General features: G+C 55.0%; 1 protein-coding gene across 13 annotated transcripts in view, besides 6 other annotated features; it reads right to left on the bottom strand.

The window, feature by feature from the left end:
- GRAMD1A (GRAM domain containing 1A) overlaps positions 1-24703 on the bottom strand; it is a 31743-nt gene that overhangs the window by 5795 nt on the left and 1245 nt on the right. For 3 of the 13 annotated variants that reach the window (XM_017027034.3, NM_020895.5, NM_001320034.2), the window contains exons 1-13: positions 20189-20352; positions 11346-11556; positions 11232-11252; positions 10703-10787; positions 10480-10583; positions 10296-10391; positions 9121-9201; positions 7307-7419; positions 6984-7134; positions 6288-6486; positions 4708-4851; positions 1366-1484; positions 1142-1284 (exon numbers count right to left, since the gene is read on the bottom strand). In XM_017027034.3, the coding sequence (XP_016882523.1) occupies positions 1142-1284; positions 1366-1484; positions 4708-4851; positions 6288-6486; positions 6984-7134; positions 7307-7419; positions 9121-9201; positions 10296-10391; positions 10480-10583; positions 10703-10787; positions 11232-11252; positions 11346-11556; positions 20189-20196 (1475 nt within the window). In that variant the 5' untranslated portion in view covers positions 20197-20352. Of the gene's footprint in view, positions 1-1141; positions 1285-1365; positions 1485-4707; positions 4852-6287; positions 6487-6983; positions 7135-7306; positions 7420-9120; positions 9202-10295; positions 10392-10479; positions 10584-10702; positions 10788-11231; positions 11253-11345; positions 11557-14743; positions 14991-15124; positions 15344-19430; positions 19542-20188; positions 20353-24383; positions 24682-24703 lie in introns of those variants that run through there. The other 10 variants (XM_047439133.1, XM_011527155.2, XM_011527153.2 and 7 more) reach the window with 10 other exon arrangements.
- Positions 7720-7799: an enhancer, noted in NCBI's record as "active region_14453". NCBI's record gives its function as "activates an Ori minimal core promoter by ATAC-STARR-seq in GM12878 lymphoblastoid cells {active_cell/tissue: GM12878}" and the evidence as "EXISTENCE:reporter gene assay evidence [ECO:0000049][PMID:35858748]".
- Positions 15354-15898: an enhancer, noted in NCBI's record as "H3K4me1 hESC enhancer chr19:35495681-35496225 (GRCh37/hg19 assembly coordinates)". NCBI's record gives its function as "activates a minimal SCP1, AML or CMV promoter by ChIP-STARR-seq in primed H9 embryonic stem cells {active_cell/tissue: H9 hESC(primed)}" and the evidence as "EXISTENCE:reporter gene assay evidence [ECO:0000049][PMID:30033119]".
- Positions 15899-16444: an enhancer, noted in NCBI's record as "H3K4me1 hESC enhancer chr19:35495135-35495680 (GRCh37/hg19 assembly coordinates)". NCBI's record gives its function as "activates a minimal SCP1, AML or CMV promoter by ChIP-STARR-seq in naive H9 embryonic stem cells {active_cell/tissue: H9 hESC(naive)}" and the evidence as "EXISTENCE:reporter gene assay evidence [ECO:0000049][PMID:30033119]".
- Positions 19738-19867: a silencer, noted in NCBI's record as "silent region_10513". NCBI's record gives its function as "represses an Ori minimal core promoter by ATAC-STARR-seq in GM12878 lymphoblastoid cells {active_cell/tissue: GM12878}" and the evidence as "EXISTENCE:reporter gene assay evidence [ECO:0000049][PMID:35858748]".
- Positions 20138-20517: a silencer, noted in NCBI's record as "silent region_10512". NCBI's record gives its function as "represses an Ori minimal core promoter by ATAC-STARR-seq in GM12878 lymphoblastoid cells {active_cell/tissue: GM12878}" and the evidence as "EXISTENCE:reporter gene assay evidence [ECO:0000049][PMID:35858748]".
- Positions 22292-22967: an enhancer, noted in NCBI's record as "H3K27ac hESC enhancer chr19:35488612-35489287 (GRCh37/hg19 assembly coordinates)". NCBI's record gives its function as "activates a minimal SCP1, AML or CMV promoter by ChIP-STARR-seq in naive H9 embryonic stem cells {active_cell/tissue: H9 hESC(naive)}" and the evidence as "EXISTENCE:reporter gene assay evidence [ECO:0000049][PMID:30033119]".

Raw genomic sequence — 24703 nt, 5'->3', positions numbered from 1 at the left:
TTTTTTTTTTTTTTTTGAGACAGGGTCTTGCTCTGTCGCCCAGGCTGAAGTGCAACGGTGTGATCATGGCTCACTGAAATCTCCACCATGTCTGGCTAATTTTTTAACTTGTTTTTTGTTTGTTTGTTTGTTTGTTTGAGACAGAGTTTCACTCTGTCACCCAGGCTGAAGTGCAGTGGCCCGATCTCGGCTCACTGCAACCTCCACCTCCTAGGTTCAAGTGATTCTTGTGCCTTAGCCTCCCAAGTAGTAGGGATTACAGACGTGCATCACTACCCCCGACTAATTTTTGTATTTTTAGTAGAGATGGGTTTCACCATGTTGGCCAGGCTGGTCTCGAACCCCTGACCTCAAGTGATCCGCCCACCTCAGCCTCCCAAATTGCTGGGATTACAGGCGTAAGCCACTGCACCTGGACCCTGGCTAATTTAAAAAAAATTGTTTTTGTAGAGACAGGGCTTCCGTACGTTACCCAGGCTACTCTTGAACTCCTGGGCTCAAGTGATACTCCTGCCTCAGCCTCCCAAAGTGCTGGGATTACAGGTGTGAGCCACTGTGCCGGGCCCCGGTTCACCACTTTAATCTCAGCTCCTACTCACTCAATCTTACTCCACTCCAGCCATTGCCCACACCCCTGCCTCAGGGCCTTTGCACCTGCTGTCCCAAATGAGTTGCTCTCAGCTCCTTCAGGTTCTTGGTGAAACATTTCTTTCCCAGTAGGCCCTTCCCTGACCAGCGTGTCGGGTGTAAAAGCCTCCACACCCTGCTTCTTTAGCCTGCCGTGTTTTCCTCATTTTTCTCCATAGGCCTAACTGCCAGTGAATGTTCTGCAGATTTTCCTGATCATTTCTCTATTGTCCAATTCCCCACTAGAATATGAGCTCCCTGAGAGAGGTGATATTGCCTGGCTTTGCTGTATCCTCAGAGTCTTGAGGCTCAAACACCCTCTGTAGATGGGAGGAGCCATCCCAGGGCCACTCTTCCTCTACCCTCCACTATTCGGAGGACAAGGGCCTCAGGAACCCCACGCTTCTGTTCCTCCACCAGGGTGGGAACCAAGGCTCTGCTGCTGACTTGAGGAGTGGACAGGAGGCCCTGGGGCCACCAGGGCATCGGGTGGAGGGGCCCAGCCACCACTCACCGGAGCCGCGCCTTGTTCCGGGCCAGACCCAGGATGCAGTAGCGGTGGGCAGTGTAGAAGTAGTCCTGGTAGGGGATGCCCTGCGTCAGCACCTCGGAGTCCACCACACACCCGCCGGCCTGGGGGCCGCGCCGGAACAGCGTCTGCAGGGACAGAGCCGGAGAAGTCAGGGCCACCCCACTCACCCAGCTGCCCCACCCACTCGGCTGCCCCACCTGGCCCACCTGTGTCTCCACCACGGAGGCGCTCTTGGGGCCCAGTGGGTTGCTGATGGGGATGGTGTACGTCAGCACCCGGCGCTGGTGGCACTTGCTGTCCCCACTCCAGGGGCTCAGCGTCACGTCTAGAGGAGGGAGGAGCAGCATGAGGAGGCCACACCCCAGTCCTTTGCCCACAGGCCACAGGAGACTCAGCCTTCTGGGAGGTCTCTCTGGGGACCTGTCCCAATCCCCACCACTCCTCTGTGTCCCCACCTTCCTTCCAGGAGCCTAAAACCTTAGCTGTTGGGGCAGGGCCATCTCCTCCACTGCTGCAGCCTCAGTTTCCCCCTCTGCACCCGTCTTGGCTTCTGCCCTGAGCATTGGACCTGTAATCTTTTGAACACCTTCCCCTGGAAGGTCCCTGGACCCCTCGAACCCACCGAGCTCCACACAGCCTCAGCATCTCCCCAAACCTGCTGCATCTCCCAGGCCCCCACTCAGGGGTGGCCCAGGGTCCTCCAGGCTCCCACTGGAGCGGTAGGCCTTGCCCTGGACACCCCCTACTCAAACCCCTAGATGGTTACCTACACTGTGTGTTCACCAAACCTCCTGAGCGTCACTCCTGGTTCAGCCCATCTTTGCCTGCCCAGTGCCCCTGCCAGCCTTCCCTTGAGTGTCTGGCCTCAGTCTCCCCATCTGGTCCAGGGGCATCTTGTTAAAGCCAAGCCTGACTCTATCCCTTCTCTGCCTAGAACACTCCATGGCTCCCCAGTACCCCTAGAACAGAGTCTGAGTTTGGTATAGTTTGGATATTTGTCCCCACCCAAATCTCATGTTGAATTGTAATCCCCAATGCCGGAGGTAGGGCCTGGTGAGAGGTGTTTGGATCATGGGGGCGGATCCCTCATGGTTTGCTGCTGTCTTCATGATAGTGAGTTCTTCCGAGATCTGGTCATTTAAGTGTGTGGCACCTCCCCTCCACTCTCTCTCACTTGCTCCCCCTTTGCCTTTCAGCATGATCAAAAGCTCCCTGAGGCAGCCGGGCACAGTGGCTCACGCCTGTAATCCCAGCACTTCGGGAAATTTGGGAGGCCGAGGCAGGAGGATCACCTGAGGTCAAGAGTTTGAAACCAGCCTGGCCAACACGGTGAAACCCCGTCTCTACTAAAAATACAAAAATTAGCTGGGCGTGACGGTGGGCGCCTATAATCCCGGCTACTCAGGAGGCTGAGGCAGGAGAATGGCTTAAACCCAGAAGGCAGAGGCTACAGTGACTCAAGACTGTGCCACTGCATTCCAGCTGGGGCGACAGCAAGAACCTGACTCAAAAATAAATAAATAAATAAATAAATATGTGTTAATGATCACAAATTTAATGTCCACTCTGTCAGGCCTATGCAGGGCTTGGAGGCCAGTGGGAGACCAGGATAGATGAACTCCTGTCCTTAGCACCCAGAATCTCTTGAGAACAACAGGAAATATCTATAAATAAAAACCACACACTACTGGCATGGTGTGAGTTAAGGGCAGAAGCTGTGAGTATCTGGGGGTATCTGGGATCTGAGGAAGGTAAGGGAAGGCTGCCAGGAGGATGTGAAATCAAAACCAAGGCCTGAAGGAGGAACTGAGGAAGGAAGGGGTCGGGGCAGAGGAGCCCAGGAGGCCGCGTGATACCAGTAAAGGCCCTGAGGCTGGAGGCCAATATTGAGAGAAGTCCCCTGAGGCTGGGATGGGGCAGCCAGGTATGGAGAGGGGCAGCCACAGCTCTGGGTGAGGCTGAAGGGTTGACATGGGACCAGCCAAGGAACTTGGGAGGCTACAAAAGAGATTCAAGCAGGGGAGGAGCGTGTCAGATGGGAGTTTCTCTTTGTTTCTTTTTCTGTATTGATGAGACATGCAGTATCCCCTGCAGTCAGGAAGATGGTGCCTTGTGTTGGGGGGCTACAAGGCCCCCAAAACTATGCTTATGTCCTAAAAGGGCTGGCGTGTCAGGCTGAGGAGCTCTGTATTAGGCCATTCTTACATTACTATAAATACCTGAGGCTCAGTAACTTATAAAGAAAAGAGGTTTAATGGGTTCACAGTTCCACAGGCTGTATAGGAAGCATGATGCCGACATCTGCTCGGCTTCTGGGGAGGCCTCAGGAGCATTTTTTTTTTTAATGGAGTCTCTCTCTGTCACCCAGGCTGAGGTGCAGTGGCATGATCTTGGCTCACTGCAACCTCCACCTCCTGGGTTCAAGCAATTCTCTCACCTGAGCCTCCAGAGTAGCTGGGATTACGGGTGGGCAGCATCATGCTCAGCTAATTTTTTTTTTTATTTTTGTAAAGACTGAGTCTCATTATGTTGCCCAGGCTGGTCTCCAACTTCTGGGCTGACATGAACTTCCCACCTTGGCCCTCCTCCCACCTTTTTTTTTTTTTTTTTTGAGACAGAGTCTCGCTCTGTCGCCCAGGCTGGAGCGCAACGGCACGATCTTGGCTCACTGCAACCTCTGCTTCCCGAGTTCAAGTGATTCTCCTGCCTTAGCCTCCTGAGTAGCTGGGATTACAGGTGCTCGCCACCATGCCTGGCTAAAATATTTTTGTATTTTTAGTGGAGATGGGGTTTCACCATGTTGGCCAGGCTGGTCTCAAACTCCTGACCTCAGGTGATCCACCTGCCTCGGCCTCCCAAAGCGCTGGGATTATAAGCGTGAGCCACTGTGCCCAGCACCCCACCCCCCGCCCCTGTTTTTTTGAGACAGAGTTTGGCTGTGTCACCCAGGCTGGAGTGCAGTGTGATCTCAGCTCACTGCAACCTCCGCCTCCGAGGTTCAAGCAATTCTCCCACTTCAGCCTCCCAAGTAGCTGGGACTATAGGTGTGTGCCACCACACCTAGCTGATTTTTGTATTTTTAGTAGAGATGAGGTTTCACCATGTTGCCCTGGCTGGTCTCACACTCCTGACCTCTAGTGATCTGCCCACCTCGGCCTCCCAAAGTGCTGGGATTACAGGTGTGAACCACCGCACCAGCCCCGCCTCAGCCTCTTAACTTGTATTTATTAAACGCTTACTATATGGTATTGCTCTAGGAACTTTTCTAGTATGAACTCACTTAGTTCTCATGATAACCAATAAGCCAGGTACTATTATCATACCCCCATTATACAGAAGGAGAAACTGAGGCACAGAGCATCTCAGAACTCTGCCCAAGCCTACCCAGCTAGTAAGTGGCAGAGCTGCTTCTGGTCTGACAGACATTGCTTTTCACCACCTCGCCTTGCCCCACTGGCTAGCAGTGCCTTCCCCTGTCCTGGGCTACCCTTCCTCACCCCTCCCCTGCACCTGGGTAACCTCAGCCTCTCCTTCATGCGCCCGCTGACCTGTGAACTTGCACTGCTGTAGGAAGCCCTGGAGGAAGGGCGAGTCCGAGAAGAGCATCTGCTGGAGCCGCTCAGCGCCCACATGGAAGACAGAGTTGATGAGGAGGCGGCCGGAGAGGTCGGGAAGCAGGGCAGCCAAGTCCGCTGGAGACAGAGGAGAGCCGAGGATGATGACTGCCTCCACTCCTCCCTCCCTCTGCGGGCCACGCCTCCCCACTCCCAGGCCTTGTAGTGTGCATGGGCGGACCCCACCTCCTGGAGCACAGCTGGACACTGACACAGAGCCCTCCTGTGACTCAGGGATGGGTTGAGGGTGGGCACGTGCTCCAGGCCCAGACAGACAGCCACTGTGCTTGGTTCTGGGTGGAGAACACACCTAGGCCCTGAGATTTAAATCACAGGGATTCATTACCAGATAGCACGCCTCCTGGGAGCATCAACCTAGGGGCACAGCAATTGGTTCAGGGGTGAGTGGGTGGCCCAGGTCTATCCGATCAACCACAGTGATTGGTTCAGGGGCAGGCACACTCTCAAGTTGGCCCAATCAGAGCCAACCCTAGGGTGTCCGCTGTAGACACTAGGAAAAATAGGCTGCTCTCTCTCATTGGGCTGGTCTGGGGCAGGGCTGAGGCCATCTCTGCCCCATAAGAGACAAGAATAGAGGCTAGCTGAAAATTAGTGGAGAGAGAAAATGAATACAATAATGATAATAGAAATACTAATAGTCAATGCTTACTAACTGGCCCAAGTGCTTTAAATGTATGAAATCACTTAATTCTCTCCCTTTGTTCGTTTTAGAGACAGGGTCTCGCTCTGTTGCTCAGGCCGAAGTGCAGTGGTGCAATCATAGCTCACTGCAGCCTCCAACTCCTGGGCTCAAGCGATCCTCCTGCCTCAGCCTCCCCAGTAGCTGAGACTACATAGGGTGCATGACCCCATGCCTGGCTAATTTTTAAATTTTTTGTAAAGACAGGGGTCTCACTATGTTGCCCAGGCTTGTCTCAAACTCTTGGCCTCATGTGATCCTCTTGCCTTGGTCTGCCAAGTAGCTGGTACTATAGGTGTGCACCACCACACCTAGTTTTTTCTTTTTTTTCTTTTTTGTACAAAACGGGGTCTTGCTTTGCTGCCCAGGCTGTTCTCCAACTCTTGGCCTCTAGCAATCCTTCCTACCTTGGCCTCCCAAAGTGCTGGGATTACAGGTGTGAGCCATCACACCCAGCCTCATTTATAGTCTCTTAACAACAATCCTATGAAGTGGGTATTATCATTGTTAACCCCATTTTCAGAGGAGGAAAGCAAGCTCAGAGAAGTTACATAATTTGCCCACGTGACATGGTCAGGAAGTGGTGTGACCAGGATGTGAACCGCGGCAAGCTGCCTTCAGTCTGTGCTTGTGTTCACCCTGCCATGCTGCCTTCAAAACAGAGTAAAGACAGAGATTTCTAGCAACAGCGCCTGAACGCCATCCCGCCTGCCCCTGGATTCTCAGTGCTGCGGGCGAATCCATCCCCTCTTGCTTAAGACTGAGCGAGGCTTGCAAGTACCGGAGGCGAATGAATTGGGCCCGCCTGCCTCACCTTCCTCCCCAGTGGATGAAGAGGAGTTACTTGTGTCTGTCAATAGCTCCTCACTGGGCAGCAGATCCAAGGGGCCCAGGGTGGTGGGCCCGTCAGGCTGGGTGGGCTCTGTGCTCGGGGGTTCAGCCACCGGGGTCACTGTCTGGCTGGAGGAGGCGTCTGGCTGGCTGTCTACCTGCTCCTCCTTGTCCTCCTCTGCCTGTGGAGAAAGGCCCGATGCAGCCTTGGCCACCTCCATCCCAGCCCCAGGGCTCCCAAGTCCACACTGGCCACAAGGATTCCAGAGCCTGTGCAGACCCGGGGTGGTGTGTGCACCGAGGGCTCACGGCTGAGCTGCGAGCAGCCTGGGGCCACCCAGATGAGGGCCCCTCTCAGCCCCTGCCAGGCTTGTCTCAGATGCCTGAGCCATAAGCTTTCTTACCTGTCCTGTCCGTCTGTCTGTCTGCTGCTTCATCTATCCACCCATCTCCCATCCCTTCTGTCTCTCATCCTTTCTGTCTGTCCCCTCTCTTCCCTGTCTCTCTTTCCCTGTCACATGTCCGTCTTCCCCTCCCTGTCCTGTTCCTCCATCCAGGCCTCCCCTGTCCCCCTATCCATTCCCCTCCAAATCTGTCAGGCTGTTCTTCTCCCACTGCACCCCCAGCCCTCCTCTCTCTTCCTATCAGTATCCCACCCCTCTTCCAACCCACCGCTCACCCCATGGTCTGCGTCGCTGCTGGCTCGGGAAAGGTTGGGCGTGACATGGCCACGGCGCGAACCCACTGGGCTTGGCTCCTGGCTGCGGTCAGCTGCCCCCGAGGAGGTGATGTCGCTCAGGGCGATCACATCTCCCACTTCCTTGGGGGTCCTGTGGGAAAGGGGAGGAAGCGGGACTGCTGTGTCCTTGAGACCCCATACACCCTCCTGAATCCTCCAGACGTCATACAACCATCTCAGGCCCCCCAGCACTCCAGGAACTCTGCACGCCGACCGTCCTGTTCTCCCCCGAACCCTTCAACCTCCTTTGACCTCCAACTCACCCCAGACCGTTCAGCTGCAAGGGGGAGACATAGTCCTCATCCTCACTGGTGAGGCCCAGCTCTGAGCCGTAGCACTGATGCACCAGGTGCCAGAGCTCGCGGGGACTCAGCGTCTGGGGAGGCGGGACCTGGGGTTGGCCTCCATCTCACCCCAGCCAGAGCCCGGCCCGCCAGATTCCCCACCAGCCCTCGGCCTCCGCAGTTCCCCTGGCTTCCACAAGGAGGCAGCCACGATCTCCCGCACCAGACCTGGCCTCAGCAAGCGGGGAATCCCCTGCTACAGCCCCTCCAGGGCCTGCGCCCAGGACTCAAACTTCCTGCTTCCCAAGTCCCCACAATACTCTGGCCAGAGAATGTTCCCATTTTTTTTATATCTTTTTTTGTTTGTTTTTTGGAGATGGAGTCTGGCTCTGTCGCTCAGGCTGGAGTGCAGTGGTGTGATCTCAGCTCACTGCAACCTCTCCCTCCTGGGTTCAAGCGATTCTCCTACCTCAGCTTCCCAAGGAGCTGGGATTACAGGTGCGTGCTACCACGCCCAGCTAATTTTTGCAATTTTAGTAGAGACGGGGTTTCACCATGTTGGCCAGGCTGGTCTCGAACTCCTGACCTCGTGGGCACCACGATCCGCCCGTCTTCGTCTACCAAAGTGCTGGGATTACAGGCATGAGCCACCGTGCCCAGCCATGAATGTTCCCATCTTTACAGAGCATACGGAGTCCCAGGAAGGGGAAGTCATGTAGGGAAAGTCATGTGTTCAAGGTCACCAAGTGACTTGGTCAAGCCCTGCCAGACTCCAGGGCTGAGTCTCCCATGCCTATGCCATCGTGGCCCCCCGAATCTTTTCCCAGGTGTCCTCGGGAGCCTTGAGCTTTCAGCCACCCATGGCCAGAGTGGCTGAATGACAGTGATGACAGTTAACAGTAAGTGATGATAGCAGCAGACATTTGCCACCTGGTCAACTAGGTGCATTCTTCTAACCACTTTACAGATGTACTAACTCACTGTATCTTCAAAACCATCTGGAAAGTAGGTGCTAACCTCATCATCCTTTTAAGACAATGGTGCTGAGAAGTGCAAGGTGACATGCTGGGGTCCAGCCAGGAAGTAGCAGTGCTGAGATGTGACCCCAGGGGAGCTGGTCTACAGCCGGGGGGCAGAGGGGGTGGCGAGGGAGCTAACCGCTGGGCTACTCTGCTCATAAGAGCTGACATGACTGAGTACTTATTCTGGGCAAAATTCTGGGTGCTGTGAAGTGGGGATGGCCCCCATTTGACAGATGGGGTTCAATCACTTGCCCCAGGGGATGGGGCTGGAATCCCGGGGCTCTGCCCTGTCCTCCTTAGGGCCTGACTGTGCGCTGTCCCTCTCTCAGGATGCTGAATGGGACCCTCAGCACTCCTGCCTGCTCCAGGGACATCGGAGCCTCTGAGAAGGCAGCGCGTGAGTGCCGCTCAGCCGGAGGATGGGGCTGGGGCTCTCTGAGGTGCTGTGGACCAGCCATAGCCGGCATCCTGTGATGACCTCCCAGCCTCTATCCACACTCCCCCGCTGCCAGTGGAACCTGGATGTCCTTCAGGGTGAAAATCATTCCCAGCCCCAGGGAAGAATTACGACGGTTTACACCAATTCATGTCCCTTTGCCAGAGACTCAGCTTCGGGGTCAGGTGGGGCCCAGGGAGGAGCTGCAGGGGCACTGGGCCTGGTGCCCATGGAGAAGAGCCAGGGCTGCCTCCAGCTCCGCAAGTTCTGGGGTCCCTGGCTCCATGGTCCCCCTGGAAACCCCCCATCCCCACCCGGGCCTCACCCAGGCCCACCTTTTCAAGCAGTGCATTCTGCCAGAGGCGGAAGATGAGGAGGAAGCAGCGGTCACGGGCCCCAAAGGAAGTGAAGAAATGCTGTCAGGGAGAGAGAGAGAGAGAGGTGTGAGCAGGTTGGGGAGCGACCAGGACAGAGGTGGGGAAGCGCCACCCTCATCTGCGCTGACGCCACATCTTTGGCCCCATGAATCCACTAATTCACCCCTGCATTAGTTCCACAAAACGTCTGTCCTGCGCCCGGCCCTGCCCTGGACAATTCCAGAATCACTGGGATGGGGAGACGACCCCTGGCCCTGTCCTTGGAGCTCCCAGTCCAAGGAGGGGACAGATGCATCTCTAGACAGGGTCAGCCCAGAGGGGCTGGGATGTGATGGGGGGAGCCCAGGGAACTTGCCCAGCCTCCTTTGCCACTAAGAATGGTCAGTTGATCCTTTTTTTTTTTTTTTTTTTGAGACAGGGTCTGGCTTTGTCACCCAGGCTGGAGTGCAGTGGCATGATCACGGCTCACTGCAGCCTCAACCTCCTGGGCTCAAGCCATCCTCCTGTCTCAGCCTCCTGAGTGAGTAGCTGGGACTACAGGTGCGTGCCACCACACCTGGTTAATTTTTTGCTTTTTAAGAGACAGGGTCTCACTATGTTGCCCAGGCTAGCCTCAACCTCCTGGGCTCAAGCAATCTTCCTGCCTCAGCCTCCCCAAAATGCTAGGGTTACAGGCATGAGCCACTACACCTGGCCAGATCCACTTTTAACCAACAAAACACAAAGAGAAGTCTGCTGGGAAGTGTCCCCCACACCTGTCCCCCTTCTTGTTGGACCGCTGGTGAGAAAGCCATCTTGCAACCAACGGACATGAGGCCACAATGACAGGGACAGGACACAACATCGGGGAGACTTACGAAGGGAGGGGCGGCTGAGGTGCCACATACATGGAAGAGTTTTACTATTTCTGCTGTTCCTGAGCAGCTGTGTGAGGTAACAGGTTGCAGGGAAAGAGAGGAGAGGCTGGTGCGGGGATCAGGTCAGGGGTGATGGGCGCCTGGGCCGGGAGAACAGAGAGAAGGGGACAGCTCGGAGAGAACTCAGGGTGCAGAACAAATGGGGCTTTGCATGTTTGGGGGAGGCGGCCTGCTGAGCGGGGGACCGCGTGGTCCCGTCACCGGGTCCTCCGTCACCTTCTCGCTCTCCGTGCAGATCTGGATGGCGTTGGGGATCAGCTTGGCCGTCTTTTCCTTCTTCAGACATGTCACTTCCTTCAGCTGGATGGAGATCTGAGGACAGCAGGAGGGTCAATAGGAGCGGGGTGGGGCCTGGCCATGGGGGCCCCCGCCCCTGTACCCTGCCCCGCTGCGGGCTCACCGTGGTCTCCCAGCGGAAGATGTTGCTGTAGAAGCAGATCCAGTTCTCAGAGAGGTAGAGGCGGCCCTGGAGCAGGATCTCACGCTGCAGGGCGCAGGAGTAATCTGAGAGGGGCGGGGAGAGACAGGAGGACACCCAAGTCACGAGGCTCAGCCGGCGCCCGCGGGCTGGCGGAGAGTCACAGGGCTGGGCTAGGAGCTGGGACTGGGGGTCCGGGACTCACCCACAATGAGGCGTTCTGCTTCGGGGAGTTTGCTGAACAGTTTCCGGAAGTCCTCATTACGCTGCTTATAAGTGGGGCTCAGCATCTGAGGAAGTTTGAGAGGTGAGAACCTGGATGGGGGTTCACACTCCCAATGCTGCCCCACAAAGCTCCTGGAACCCCCTCAGTCTCTTAAGTCCCTGACAGATTCCAACGCACACAACACACCAGTAGCCACAATGACAGCTGCCATTTACAGATTTCTTATGTAAGCCGGGCCCCGTACCAAGCACCCACCAGCATCACTGACTCATTCAATGTTCCCTTCAGCCTTGTAAGGTGGGGCTGTTTCTCAAGGACAGAGAGAGGCCCAGAGAGGTTAAGTAACTCACCCAAGGTCACACAGCACATAAATAATAGCATAGAACGTGACCCTAGGTCTGCACCCACTCCATCTCAGCACGCACTCCTTGACTGTTGCAGCCTGGGGCTCCTGGCCCAGCACCCGGTCCTCCCAGCCCTCCAGCAAGCCCCTTGCCCAGACACTTACACTGTACCAGCTCTGCATCTTCTGCAAAGAAAAGGAGAGGAGTCAGGATGAGCCCCTAGATCACCGGCCAGCCCCCACTAGCCCTCTCCCCACCCCACCTGGGCTTGCACCAACCTTGCTGTTGCGGATGAAGTTCCGGCTGCCTAGGCTCTGGGTGCTGGGGGTCCCAGGCACCCCACCCTTCTCTGAGGAGCTATCTGATCCCTTCTCCACCATGGTGCCTGGTTCTGGCTCAGGTGGGGGCCGGCTTGGGGGCAGGAGCTGCAGCCGTTTCCGGAGCGATGGGGAGCTGCTTGGCGTGCTCCGGCCAGAGTGGGGTGTGGTGCTGGGGGCAGGAAGAGGAAGAGAAGTGTTAACTGGAAAAAACAGGCTGGGATTCGGGGACAGGCCTATTTTCAGAGGCCCACCCATTGATCCCCGAATACACACCCATCCACCCAGCCATCCTGTTTCTCTTCCCAGCAGTGACACTCAGAACATGCTCCTTAACGTCTCTGTGCTACGGTTACTTCATCAGTAATCCAGGGATGATAAATACATGTCCTCATCCAGTTGTTTTGGGGCTTAAACAAATCAGGACATGTAAAGCACTTCCTTTATCTTACTTTATTTTATTTATTTATTTTTTGTGACAGAGTCTTGCTCTGTTGCCCAGGCTGGAGTCAGTGGCATGATCTCGGCTCACTGCAAACTCTGCCTCCTGGGTTCAACTGATTCTCCTGCCTTAGCCTCCCAAGTAGCTGGGACTACAGGTTCCTGCCACCACACATGGCTAGCTTTTATATTTTTAGTAGATGGGGTTTAACCATGTTGGCTGGGCTGGTCTCAAACTCTTGACCTCATGATCTGCCCACCTTGGCCTCCCAAGTGCTGGGATTACAGGTGGGAGCCACCGTGCCCAGCCTACTTTAATTTTTTTTGAGACGGGGTCTTCCTAAGTTGCCCAAGCTGGTCTCAAAATCCTGGCCTCAAGTGATCCTCTGGCCTCAGCCTCCCAAAATGCTGGGATTACAGGCATGAACCACCGTGCCCAGCCCATGTAAAGTAATTCTAACAGAGCATGGCACATAGCGAGCTCTCAAAGACACCTGCTGTTTTATTTTATTTTATTTTAAGACGGAATCTCTCACTCTGTCACCTAGGCTGGAGTGCAGTGGTGTGATCTCAGCTCACTGTAACCTTCGCCTCCTGGGTTCAAGAGATTCTCCTGCTTCAACCTCCTGAGTAGCTGGGATTACAGGATCACACTACCATGCCTGGCTAATTTTTGTATTTTTAGTAGAGACGGGGGTTCACTATGTTGGCCAGGCTGGTCTTGAACTCCTGACCTCAAGTGATCTGCCCACCTCAGCCTCCCAAAATGCTGGGATTACAGGTGTGAGCCACCGCGCCTGGCCTATACCTCCTATTTTTAAAATTAACTTACTGATTCATACAACAAATATTTATTGAACAGCGACTTTCCACTCAGTTGTCGGAGCTAAAACCCTAAGCATCTTTCTTAATTTCTTTATTTTCTTCATCTCTCATTTCAAAATCTATTTCCATTATTTATTTTTATTTTCTTTTTAGAGATAGGGTCTCGCTCTGTCACTCAGGCTGGAGTGCAGTGGCACAATCACGGCTCACTGCAGCCTCGAGCTCCCGGGCTTAAGTGATCCTCCTGCCTCAGCCTCCCGGGTAGCTGGGACTGCAGGTACACACCACTGTTATCAGCTTTTTTATTTTTAAAAAATTTTTGTACAGATGGGGTCTAGCTATGTTGCCCAGGCTGTTCTCAAACTCCTGACCTCAAGTGATCCTCCCACCTTGGGCACTACCAAAGTGCTGGTATTACAGGTGTGAGCCACTGCACCCAGCTCTATTTCTATTATTTTTATTTTTTTGAGATGGGGTCTCTCTCTGTCGCCCAGGCTGCAGTGCAATGGCATGATCTCGACTCACTGCAACCTCCACCTCCCAGGTTCAAGCGATTCTTCCGCCCCAGCCTCCCCAGTAGCTGGGATCATAGGCACCCGCCATCATGCCCCGCTAATTTTTGCATTTTTTGTAGAGACAGGGTTTCACCATGTTGGCCAGGCTGGTCTTGAACTCCTTCCTGACCTCAGGTTATCCGCCCACCTCGGCCTCCCAAAATTCTGGGATTACAGGCGTGAGCCACCGCACCCAGCATCCGTTATTTTTATTATACCCATTTCTCCCTGCTCCAGCCTCCATCACCTCCAGCCTGGACACCCCAGCAGCCTCTTCACTGGTGTCCTACAACCAGAGGAGACCTGTGACCATCTGAGTCAGGTCTGAGCCCTGCCCTGGGTGCACCTCACTCCAGGTAAAAGCAAAGACCTCACCTTGGTGTGGTGATTTGGCCCTGGAACCTCACTGACCTCATGTCCTCCCTCTCCCTGTCCTTCCTCTCCCCTGGCCATCCCAGCCTGCTTTTGTCCCTAAGCTCTCCAATCTCATTCCCACGCCAAGGCCTCCACATTTGTAGTCCCTCCGCCTGAATGTCCTTCCATGGCCCCGGCATCACCAGCTCTGTCCCCTTCAGCTCAAATGCTCTCCTTCCGCATCATCCAGCCTAAGGCAGGCACCTCTGTCGCCACACCCCAGGCTATCTGGAGTGTCCTGCTTGTTTACTGTTTGTTTACTGTCTACCCAGACTGTGACCTTCAGGTCTTGGTTACCACCGGGTCCCTAGAGCCCAAAACTCTAGGCACATAGTGAATGCTCAATAACCACCAGAGGCTAAATGAATAATCTGCACGCTGGCTGGAGCTGGCATCAGTAGAGCCCGCAGGACATGGCCCCTGCCCTTGGGGAATGAGCCTTCTGGTGGGGAGGCAGACACTGAACAAACAGGACACTCCCAACTTCACTGTGCAAACACGAACTGTAATAAGGACTGTGGGGATGGCGTTGGGAACTTTAAAAGGACATTCTTTGTTGACTCCTTATCAGGAAATATGTCAAGCTCTCCGTATGATTAACCGTATTATTTCTCAAGCCGGTGCCTTTGATATGATTCACCATCCCTGCTTTACAGAGGAGGAAACTAGCTCAAAGCGGCAAACCACTTGCCATAGGATACGGGCCTGGTTTCTTTCTTTTTTCTTTATTTTTTGGAGACAAAGAGTCGCGCTGTCACCCAGGCTGGAGTGCAGTGGCACTATCTCAGCTCAGTGCAACCTGCGCCTCCCAGGTTCAAGTGATTCTCCTGCCTCAGCCTCCGCAGTAGCTGGGATTACAGGCACCCACCACCATGCCCAGCTAATTTTTTGTATTTTAGTAGAGACAGGGTTCCACCACGTTGCTGGTCTCGAACTCCTGAGCTCAGGCAATCCACCTGCCTCAGCATCCCAAAGTGCTAGGAGATTACAGCTGTGAGCCACTGCACCTGGCCATGGGCTTGGTTTATTTCAAGGCAGGATTCCCATTTAGGGGCCTTGATGTATTCTGGGGTGCAGGTGGGATTCCCTCCACCACCTGGGGCAACTCAAAGTTGTCTCTCTTACCTCCAAGCCTTAACATATGCCATTCTGTCTGTCCAGATCGTAGTTCTTCTTTGCCTAGCAAATCCTTATTTGTCCTTCAGGACTTTGGCTCATGCGTGACCCCACAGTCCCCTGGGCAGCTCCCATCCTGGACTACTCTGGGCCGTCACTGTCTGATGACAGGTCCAAGTCCTTCACGGGTCTGTGGGTCACTGCTCTGTCCCCAGCACAATGCGGGACAGGATGCAGGGTAGGCACTCATGTAACACTTGTAAAATAAATTTGTGGAATAAAATACGTGAATAAAATAATTAAACAGCCAGTGGCCCAGGCCACTGCTTTTCCCCTGGGCCATCCCAGCAGCCTCCTCCCTGGTCTCCCTGTTCCCATCCCTGCCCATACCTGTAGTGGGAGGGAGCCTGGGATCATCTGAGTCCATCAGGGTCCTCCTGGGTGGTCCCTCTCTGCCCTCATCAGCCCTGCACTCCCTCTCCCAGCTCCCGCCTTGGTCGGTGCCTCTGCTCAAAATGCCCTTCCTCCCAGACATCCACATCCACATCCACAGGGCTCCCCCACCTCCCTCAGGTCTCTGCTCAGTGGACACCTTCCCTACCTCCCTATTTAACACCCCCTACCCCGCCTCCCGATCCCCCTCCCTGCTCTCTTTCTGCAAAGCAAGTCTCCCTGCTGCCTCCCGGGACCTTCAGTATTTCCCCCTAGTTCTTATCCTTCTCTCCCCACCCCCAACCCCCACCCACGATGTTGAGTGTCCCCATCACCTAGAGCAGGGCCTGGCGTACAGGAGGTGCTCCGTGAGCACATACTGTTGGGGATGGCCTGGGTGATCGGCCCTCCTTCCCCGCCCCCCATAGAACTTGGGTTCCAGCAGGTGCACGACTCCTTGGACCCTGCAGGTCTCCAGGGCAGCAGCCTGGAGTGTGGGCCCCACAGTCCAAGGACCTTCCAGTCAAGTGCCACCGCGTCCTTTCTGTGTGACCCTGAGCTAGTGTCTGAACCCTCCTGTGCCTCAGTTTCCTCTTGGGTATGATGGGAATTAGTGCCCACCTCCTAGGGTTGCACAGAGATGGAGGTGAGGTGAGATCCACAAAGCCCAGTACCTGGAGGGCACCTGGTTTAACTACGCTGCTTTCCCTCCCACAGGGACTGGCGGACTAAGATGGAGTGTACAGCGCGGCTGCCAGCCCAGTGCACCACTGCCCATGACGCTCTGCTGACCCTGACAGGGACCTCACAAGCACTACGCCTGATGTTAGGCGCCTCCATGACTGACCCTCAACTCCAGCCTTTCACCTCTAAATACCCTGCACCCGCCACAAGGAAGTGAGCAAAGCCCATACAAGCCCCTGCCTGCAAGGACCTGACGCTGAAACAGGGAAACATAGACCGTCAGTAAGAAAACAAGTGAGCAGGGATGGCGACCTCAGACACTGGTGAACGCCATAAAGCAATGCTGCTCAGTATGAGCCCCAGAGAGCAGCAGGCAGGACTTGGAAAGTGTTCAAAAGGCAGAGTCCAGGACCCACTCCCAACCTTCTGAATCAGAACTGGGGTGGGGCCAGAGATTCCGACGCACATTCAAGTTTGAGGACCACAGAGATAAGGGATGGGACAACTAGGGGGGCAGAGATGCTTTTTAAATTTTTTTTAGAGACACGGTCACACTCTGTCACCCAGGCTGCAGTACAGTGGCAAAATCATGGTTAACGGCAGCTCCGAACTCCTGGGCTCAAGGAATTCTCAATCCTCAGCCTCCCAGGTCACTCCAGGCCCGAACTCTTGGGCTCAAGCGATCCTCCAGCCTTAGCTTCCCTGATAGCTGGGACTACAGTCTCACACCACCATGCCTAGCTGATTTTTAAAGTTTTTTTGTAGTGATGGGGTCTTGCTATGTTGCCCAGGCTGGTCTCAAACTCCTGACCTCAAGTGATCCTCCCACCTTGGCCTCCCAAAGTGCTGGGATTACAGGCATGAGCCACTGTGCCCAACCAATTTCTTTAGTAACAGTCAGCAAAAGCCTTCCTGAACAAAGCCCACTTGTTCACCTGAGGACAAAGAACACATGTGGCAAAGGCTGGGAGAAGACTCCAGGTGGAGAACATCAAGCTCAGGGACAGGACTGAGCCTGGCAGGTCTGAGTGTGAGTGAGGTGGCCAGTGGGGCTGAGGGAGTAGCGGAGGTGCACAGGCCTGGTGACCCTAGTCAGGAGTTTGGCTTCACCCAGACAGCACTGGTGAGCAGGGAGAGACTCCTAAGCAGCAGGACCACATCCTCCCCTGCCTGCTTTTCTCAGCCCTCTAGCCTGAAACACAGACCTGCCCTACTTTCCCGCAGCCACAGATCTAGGGGCAGGGCCTGGGGGCCGGAATCCTGAAGAGAGGCTCAAGGCACACAGACAGGGCAGGGACCACGCCCCCAGTTTTTGCTCCAGGGCTGGGCAAAGAGGAAGTACTCAAGGGCGGACCCTGCGGCTGCCCAACCAGGATAGCTGAAGGCAGAGTGAAGGGAGGAGCCTGGGGGACTGTTATAGGGGCGAGGAGACTCGGAAGGGATGTTGTTTTGCTTCCGCAGACACCTGACCTCCAACTTCCTAGGCCCCAGTGGACCCAGAGCAGCCTCTGGTCAGAAAAGGGCGGATGCATCCACAGGTGTGCATAAAAGGGAAACTCAATGATTGTCACACAGTAGGTGTCAGGGGTAAACTGCATTTCCCTACAATTGCAAGGAGTCTCTTTCCTCTCTCTCTCTCTCATATGCACACACACACACACACACACACACACACACACACGCACAGAGCAACAGCATCATAGGTATGCTACAGAGAGCCACAGAGTAATTACACACACACACACACACACACACACACACACCTGCAGCATTGCTAGTCTGCTACAGTCACATGGCAATTTCCCAGAAAAGTTATCCAGACACATGCATGTGTGCACACAGACACAGAGCTGCAGAGGGTCACAGAAACATACAGCAACCCACAGAAAGTCCCGGATAAATTATATTCACACACATAGCCACGAGGAAGTCTCAGCAAAGAGCCAAAGACAGCCATACAGTGAAAGACCAGTCCCAAAAGACCCCAGGTGACACATACATAGTCCCAGGTAAATCAGGTCCCACGGTCAGCCAACACATCCCCACTGAGTTGTTCCCGTGCCCGCACTGGGCTCACCATCTGGCAGGGAAGACAGAGAAAAGGCTACTTCTAAAGTGGCAAGGGGCTGGGCGCAGTGGCTGATGCCTGTAATCCCAGCACTTTGGGAGGCCGAGGCGGGTGGATCACCTGAGGTTAGGAGTTTGAGACCAGCCTGGCCAACATGGTGAAACCCCATCTCTACTAAAAATACAAAAATTAGCCAGGTGTGGTGGCACGCACCTGTAATCCCAGCTACTAGGGAGGCTGAGGCAGAAGAATCGCTTGAACCCAGGAGGCAGAGGTTGCAGTGAGCCGAGATCGTGCCACTGCAGTCCAGCCTGGGCGACAGAGCGAGACTGCGTCTAAAAGAAAGAGAAAAAGGAAAAGAAAAAGTAAAGTGGCAAGGGGTGGAGGTGTCAGTGGCTGTAGCTGGTGGAGAGCCCTGATGCTCACAGTCAAGCAGGACTTGGGAATAATGCAGCCGAGCAGGGCGTGGATCTCGAGGACACAGTGGCCAGGTAGTGGAATAATGCGTGGCACATGCTATACTAACTGTAACAGGTGGACAACGTCAGTTATCATTATTGCCTCCAAAGTGCCCTGGGTACTCCCAGGGTCTTAGAAGGGAGGGTTCCAAGCCTACAGAGAGCCACAAGGGGTCTCACACTGTTCACACACACACAAAACCACAGAGGGTCTCAGCTGTACACAGAGAGGCCTAGGCACCACTCAATACTGTCACAAAGGAATACACAAGGGAATGTTCACACAAAGATGGAATCAAATTAAGTTACAGCCACACTCACAGAGCCCCAGACACACAACAATGTCACAAATGTAACTTACATTGGCACACAGAGCTAAATGAGAGTTTCAAGCCAGGCGCGATGGCTTAAGCCTGTAATCCCAGCACTTTGGGAGGCCGAGGTGGGTGGATCACCTGAGGTCAGGAGTTCGAGATCAGCCTGGCCAACATGGTGAAACCCCATCTCTACTAAAAATACAAAACTTAGCCAGGCGTGGTGGCACACGCCTGTAATCCCAGCTACTCAGGAGGCTGAGGCAGGAGAATTGCTTGAACCCAGCAGGAGGAGGTTGCAGTGGGCCGAGATCGTGCCACTGCACTCTAGCCTGGGCGACAGAGCCAGACTCTATTTCAAAAGAAAAAAAAAAAAAGAAGAGCGTTTCAGAGCTAAATTACAGGCATATGCAGGCACAGAGGGTCATGGTAGAACCCAGAGCCCCAGGCACACTTGTACACACACCACTAAGTCACAATGGGACGCACACTGGTAACTTACAGCAACGCTTGGAGCTACAGATAGAATTAATGGTAAAACACACACAGCCCAAGAAGGATCAGAGCTGCTACACACGGTAACTCCAGACACATGTACAAACACTCCAACGTCACACTCAGACACACAGGGGTAATTTATATTTGCACAGGGAGCTACAGATGGAATGAGACACAACACGCACACAACCAGCTGCTCACAGCCACAGATTTGGAGCCCCAGACACACACAGGTAACTTACAGTGACACACAGAGCCGCGGTCAGAATTAGTGGTTAAGTTACACGCAGGAACTCTATCAGAGGCCCAAAGCTGCTGCAGGCTAGCAGCCCCAGACACACGTACACACACTTGCAAGACAATTCACAGTCGGAAGCACATGCGCCCACCTGGACCGGAAGGGGAGTAAGAAGTCAATTCCGAGCACACAGGACCCCCCGCCCTCCATGACCTCAAGCACGCGGTCCTGGAGAGACGCAGGAAGCCCCCACCCCCGGCAGCCCCGAGACCCGCAACAGCCAAGGACGGTGGGAGGGGGCCCAGGCAGGAGGGGGCTGCCTACTCCCGGCGCGCCCAGGGCTCCGCGGCCTGTGGGCCTGGGCTGGTCCCGATCCTGTCTCCATCCCAGGCCGGAGCCCCAGTTCGGCCTCGCGCTCACCCCTGGCTTACCAGGCAGGGGGTTGCCAGGCCTGAGGGCCCTCCCCGCCAGATGAACCCGCGGGCCCCCAGCCAAACCCCGCAACCCAGTGCGTCGCGGGCCGGCAGTGGCGACCCAGACCCCGGGCCCTGCCCTGCGTCCGCGCCCCACTCCCCAGCTGCACCCCTCGCCCGGGGGCCCCCTGCCCCGCCCCCACCCCGATCGCCCCGGCCAGAGCCATGTGCAGAGGCCCCCGACCTCTGCAGCGGCCGCTCCGCCCCCTCCCCAAGCCCGCGGCGCCCCCTCCCTCCGGTGGCCTCCCCCGCGCGCCCGGTCCCTGAGCTCTAGTCGCCCGGTCCTTACTCGAACATGGATGCGGCGCGGTGGGCGCGCCCCGGGCGCAGGGCAGGGCAGGGCAGGGCAGGGCTGGGCTGCGCGGGGCTGGGCTGCGCTGGGCGTCCCCGCAGGGCACCGGCCTGGCCTTCCGCGGCCGCCGCCCCCACCCGACCCAACCGCCCGCACAAAAGGCCGGAGCCGCCGGAGGCCGCCGCGGCGTCAGCGACACCCCCTTCCTTCCCCCGCCCCGCCGCGTCACGGCGCCGCCCCCAGCCCGGGAGGGAAGGCGGGGAGGGGCCGCAGAGGCCTAGAAGGAGGGAGAAGCCGGGGAGAGAGGGACTGGACAGAGAAGGGAAAGCAGAGGGGCAGAGAGACAGAGAAGGAAACAAAGAGACTTTATTAAAACCAAACATCGTGGAGGCAGCTGCCTGCCCGCAGGTTGGGGAGCCCCCTCCCCTAGTACCTAGAAAAGGGTCCCTAGCAACTACTATGCCCCTGGCCAGAAGCTCCTGGACCTCCCAGGGAGGAACCTGAGAGCCGGGGCGAAGGTGGGGGAGGACTGGAGATGCTGGGAAACCGAGGTGTATGTATGGGGGAGGGGGCCTGAAGCTGGCGGGAAGGGGTGGGGCCGGTTGGCCGCCTCCTCCTTCCCTCTCCCAGTCTCTGAGCCCGGGTTCCTGGTCCCAGGAGGTCCGGTGCCTCCGTTTCTAGGGACTTCCCAGTTTTGGTCAGCCAGGCCAAGTACCAAGTCAGAATCCAGCCTCCCTGGCTCTTATCTGTGCTGAGACCTTGCGCTCATCACCCCAGTGCTGGGAGTCCCACTAACTCGGTGGTAAGGGCTTTTCCCGGGGACAGCGCAGGAACGGGCAAAATCAGTCCTTTTACGGAAGGAGAAGCCCGGCCTCTAAGATGGGAAGTGACTTGTTGGGGTCACCTGGTAGGTAGGCGGCAGAGTTGGATTCGATCCTGCTCTGACGCCATAACCTGCGTCCCCCCTCCCCCGCCCCGTCTGCAAGAGGTCAGAGTCAGGTGGTGTCCTGGACTCCTGGCCCAACCACACAGAAATGCGAGTCCCACCTCACAGCTCCGGGGCTGTGGCTCCCCAGCGCTCTCCAGGGTACGCTGTCCCCGCCTCTTTTGAAAAAACTCCCTTCCCAACCCTCTCCATCAACCCTTCCCCTCCTCCTGCAAAAGAAGCCCACCTGACTTCTCCATTTTGATGAATGGCAGGCCCAGAACTTCAGAGTCTTTTCTGACCCTCTCTTTTCCTTCACACCACATCCAATCCGTCACAAACTGTGGGCTCCACGTATAAAATCAATCGCTCCATTCTAAACTCTTCTTCCTCCGCTGCCCACGCCCTGGCCCAGCCTCCATCCTCTCCTGCCTGATCTCCCTGCTCCCATCCCTGCCCCTACTGTCTGTTCTCACCTGCAGCCAGAGAGAGCCTGGGACCACCTGAGTCAGTTAACTACCCTCCTGGCTCAGAGCCCTGCCCCAGCTGTACCTCACTCCAGGTAAAAGCAAAGTCCTCACCTTGGCACCCAAGGCCCCTGTCAGCTCTCTGACTTCAGCTCCTCATCTCCCCCTGGCTCACACCCCCCATCCAGCCTACCCGCTGTTCTTCTAACTCACCAGGCACCTTCCTGCCTCCTACCCCAAGACCTTTGCACTGGTTATTCCCTCTGCATGGACAGCACCCCCCCTATCGCCGTGCCCTACCTCTCATGCTAACCCCCACCTCTAAAACCCCCATCCACCATCTGACATTTGCTGCCTCCCACCGGCCAATGGAAGAGAGGCCCTCCTCCCACCACCTTCCTCTGTCCAACTGATCTCTTTAGATTTCTCTTTGGTCTGTTTCTTCTAGTGTAATGCTTTTAGTTTTTTAATTAAATAATATTTATTTCAGGTCAGGCGCGTTGGGTCACGCCTGTAATCCCAGCACTTTGGGAGGCCAAGGAGGGTGGATCACCTATCAGGAGTTCGAGACCAGCCTGGCCAACAGAGTGAAACCCCATCTCTATCAAAAATACAAAAAAATTAGCCAGGTGTAGTGGCTTGCACCTGTAATCCCAGCTACCCAGGAAGCTGAGGCAGGAGAATTGCTTGAACCCGGGAGGTGGAAGTTGCAGTGAGCCAGGATCGCACCACTGCGCTCCAGCCTGGACAACAGAGCAAGACTCCATCTCAAAAAAAAAAAAAAAAAAAAAAAGGAAGAAAATATAACAGTCCTCTATGTCCCCTGTACCTATATAGAATAGATGTGGACATTTTGCCATTTTGCTTCAGGTCCTTTTTTTAAAAGAAATAAATGATTACACTTACAACCAAAGGCCTGGCTCCCCATCCCTCCTTTCCCTTCCCGTGCCCCCCAAGGAGCCTTCTGCCTGCCATGCAGTTGGTGTGTTTCCTTCCTGCGCTTTTTTTTTTTTTTTTTTTTGAGACAAGGTCTTGCTCTGTCGCTCAGGCTGGAGTGGTGCAGTGGCTCGATCTTGGCTCACTGCAGCCTCCACCTCCTCGGTTCAAGCGATTCTCTTGCCCCAACTTCCTGAATAGCTGGGATTACAGGCATGCGCCACCATGCCTGGCTAATTTTTGTATTTTTAGTAGAGATGGGGTTTCACTGTGTTGGTCAGGATGGTCTTGAACTCCTGATCTCAGGTTAATCTGCCCGCCTCGGCCTCCCAAAGTGCTGGGATTACAGGCATGAGCCAGCACGCCTGGACCCTGTGTACTTTTCTGTCCTTTTTCTACATCAGGAGGCATCCACCAACACTATCACCTATTATCCAGTATCTTTTTAAAAAGATACACGATTAGGCTCCCTCTGTTTCATTTGCAACTTGCTGTCCCCCATTATCATTGTTTCTGCGATTTCTCCACATCCATGCACAAAGCTCTGCTTCCTAAACTTTAACGCTTATGGAGTGTCCCTTGTTGGAAGAAACCACAGTGGCTGCTTGTTCTATTCAGGGTCGGTAGAGTTCTTTCCTCTTCCCCCTATGGCCCTGAACCTCCCATTTCCTGTCTCCTTGTACCAGAGATAGTGTTTCTTTTCAGAAGTTTTGTTTAAACTTTCTTTTTTTCTTTGTTTTTCTTCTTCTTCTTTTTTTTTTTTTTTTGTTTTTTTGGCCTGTGATCTACAGCAGGAAATACCTTTCACATGGGCTTCCAGCACGCACTTAGAAATACACATAATGCCACAGAAGTTGTAAGAAACCACACTTACCCTCATTAGGCCTCACGCATGGTGTTATTTGCAATTCTATTTTATTTTGATTTGGATAAAGAAGTGCTGATTGCGGCCGGGTGCCTCATCTCACAATCCCAGCACTTTGGGAGGCCGAGGAGGGTGCATCACCTGAGCTCAGGAGTTCAAGACCAGCCTGGGCAACATGGTCAGACCTCGTCTCTACTAAAAATACAAAAAAAATAGACAGGTGTGGTGGTGCACATCTGTGGTCCCAGCTGCTGGGTGGAGGGGGGAGCAATGGAAGTTGCAGTGAGCCAAGATCATGCCACTGCACTTCAGCCTGGGTGACAGAGAGATGCTGTCTCAAAAAGAAAAAGACAAAAAACAAAAAACAAGGGCTGATTGCAATTCACTGTATTAGTTTTATGGCCCTTAAATGGGTCTTGACCTACAGTTTGAAAAACACTGGGTGGGGTCCCTCTCCACCCATCCACTCTTTTTTTTTTTTTTTTTTGAGACAGAGTCTTGCTCTGACGCCCAGGCTGGAGCAGTGGCGCAATCTCGGCTCACTGCAACCTCCGCCTACCAGGTTCAAGCAAACCGCCTGCCCCAGCCTCCTGAATAGCTTGGATTACAGGCATCCATCACCATCGCTGGCTAATTTTGTGTTTTTAGTCAAGATGGGGTTTTACCATGTTGGCCAGGCTGGTCTTGAACTGTCGACCTCAGGTGATCCACCAGCTTCGGCCTCCCAAAGTGCTGGGATTACAGGCGTGAGCCACCACGCCCGGCTTCCCCTCCACTCTTACTAGGCAGAACTCAGCTGAGCTCAGTCATAGCTGGTTGTCCCAACGCACACCCTCAGTTTTTACCTTTTGTTTGTGCATCTGTTTCGTGGCTTTGAGTCAGCCCTCTGTGGGGCTAAGGTTGTGCTCTGACCCGCAGCCACAAGGAACCCACCCTTGACAGAGAGAACCCTCCCTAGACAGAGAGACCCTCTTTCCTGTCCCACTGCCCAGGTCTGACCTGTCCTGGGACAGACTCTGCGGGTCTGGCATCCTCTGCTGCTGCCGGCGTCGGGGGGTTGGGGTGCAGGCGGGGGACTCCCCATCACTGGATGGCGTTATGTGAATGATGGGCACCTCCAGGAGCTTCCAGGACTCAGAGGCCAGGCCCTGGGCCCTGTCACCCTGTGGCTGCTGCTTCCGCTGCCCTGCTGGGAGGTCAGGCGAGCCCTGGGGACTGCCCTGTGCCAACAGGGTCTCCCAAGGCATCAGGGGCAGGACATCATCCATGGAGAGGGTCTGGAACAGCGGTGTGGTCTCTGGGAAAGAGAAAAAAGAGAT

The sequence above is a fragment of the Homo sapiens genome, chromosome 19, assembly GCF_000001405.40.
Source record: "Homo sapiens chromosome 19, GRCh38.p14 Primary Assembly".
NCBI classification, from domain to species: domain Eukaryota; kingdom Metazoa; phylum Chordata; class Mammalia; order Primates; family Hominidae; genus Homo; species Homo sapiens.
This window is presented reverse-complemented; position numbering and strand designations above follow the sequence as displayed.